The 1,858-nt window shown below is 46.5% G+C and overlaps 1 annotated feature.

The window, feature by feature from the left end:
* Nucleotides 419-713: a silencer, noted in NCBI's record as "tiled region #11387; HepG2 Repressive DNase matched - State 12:CtcfO". NCBI's record gives its function as "represses a minimal TATA promoter and a strong SV40 promoter by Sharpr-MPRA in HepG2 cells {active_cell/tissue: HepG2}" and the evidence as "EXISTENCE:reporter gene assay evidence [ECO:0000049][PMID:27701403]".

Below are 1,858 nucleotides of genomic sequence, written 5' to 3' on the forward strand. Positions count from 1 at the left end.
TGCATTGTCTCTGTGGTTCCCAACCTTCCTGGGGGTTCCTGGGGGCTTCTGAGGACTCTTGTTTCATGTCTAAGCCATCTGCAGATCCCTTCACAAGAGCAGCCACAGTGCTTAGCGTCTGTTGATTGAAAACAATGCCATGACAAAAGCCAACGGGGCTGTTCACTGATTTCCAGCTTTATTCTAAGAACACTGATGGACGTATGAAAACTGCTGACCATCTATGACCAGTCGGCCTTAATTCAGTGTGCGGGTAACGGACTTAAGGTGTCAGTGGTAACACAGATCTTTTGCAATCATTCTGTATCTCCCCTCCCTTCTTGGTCTTTGTTATCTCATTTAATCCTGAATCCTTTATCTCATGGAGCCTTCACAGCAACCCTTGAAAGTAGGGTATTGCTACCCTCATTTTACAGACCAGCAAGCTGAATCTCTAATAGGTCAAGTGCACTGTCCAAAGCCACTTGTTGAGGAAGAAGCAGAATCAGGTTTGTAGCCCGGGTTTTTCTGACACTGCAGCCGACCTCTTTCCACTGTATTCCTGGGGACTTCCTTAGCCGCGGCTTAGCATGGAATCACTCTGGCGCCCTCTGGAGGTCACTCTTCCATCCTGCCCCTTGGTTCCCAATGAAGTCCAGTTAATCACAAATTAATACCCATTGCTTTCCTTTTCTTTTTTGTAAGGTCTGGCACCCTGAAGAGACTCTTAAGTGAAATATAGCTGATTATTATAAAAATGTGTCTAAGAATGGAGACACGTGCAAGGGCTCTCAGCCCACTCTCACAGCCTAGGGAGAAGAGGAGGTGATGGAGGAGGAGGTGACAGGCCCCCTCCACCCCCACCCCACGCCCACCCCCACGTGGCCCCACAGCTGTCTGTCTGTGTCAAATGTTCTAAGCAGAGGTTGGGGGCTTCACTCCCCACACAAAGAGAGTTCAGAGCTGTCAGCACCTTTCCCACGGTACACTAGGTGCTGAGGAACAGGTGATAATTACAGCCCTGTCACCCTCATCACCTCTGAGCTGGATGAGTTTTTTTCTAAAAACAAATGTTGTGCTGCCTGAAGATCAAAGTTGGAGCTTAGGTTGGGGAAATACACACATGCAGGCTGCTGCTCTTTTCCATGAAGCACAGGGAATTGGCTTGGAAAACACCTTGGAGATGGCTGTCTTGGCCTCCTGCCAGGGGAAAGAGATCGTAGGAGGGAGGAGGAGGCTGCCTGGCCTCCATAGGTGCACCTTCTGCCTCCTGAGAGAGGTGATCCTTCACCAGCCAGCATGGCGGGTCAGAGTTCCATCCCTCTGCCCTTTGGAGAAAAGGAACCTGCGTGGCCCTTCACATCTTAGAAGGAACCTTTCATGTAGCGCCCACCTGTACCTCTGAAGTCAACTCTCTTCTCCAACTTAAATGCTCTCCAACTCTTTGGATTTTTAATTTAAAAGGACTCAAAGCTCCTCAGTCTCCTCAAGGTCTCCCTGTCCTCAGGACTCACCATCATGTATCTGTGAACATCTGTGTTAAAAAGCAGCAATGAGACTAAAATATTCTGGAAATATGTACTCAGATTTTCACATTCAGATTTACACACACTTCTATAAGCCAAAACAATTTCCTATACAAACAAATGTCATTCCACATAATATCTACTGTTAATTGAGTATTTTACTATACACCAAGCATTGTGATAAGCATTTACACATGTTACCCCATTTAGTCTTCATGCAGCCTTATGAGATGGGTATAGAGACTGTGTATATCACCATCACTTTACAGGTAAGGAAACTAAACCCTAAAGATGTTAGGAATTTACCGGAGTCTCAGAGCTAATGAAGTATTGAGAAAGCACTGAACTCCATA

The sequence above is a fragment of the Homo sapiens genome, chromosome 11, assembly GCF_000001405.40.
Source record: "Homo sapiens chromosome 11, GRCh38.p14 Primary Assembly".
NCBI classification, from domain to species: Eukaryota; Metazoa; Chordata; class Mammalia; order Primates; family Hominidae; genus Homo; species Homo sapiens.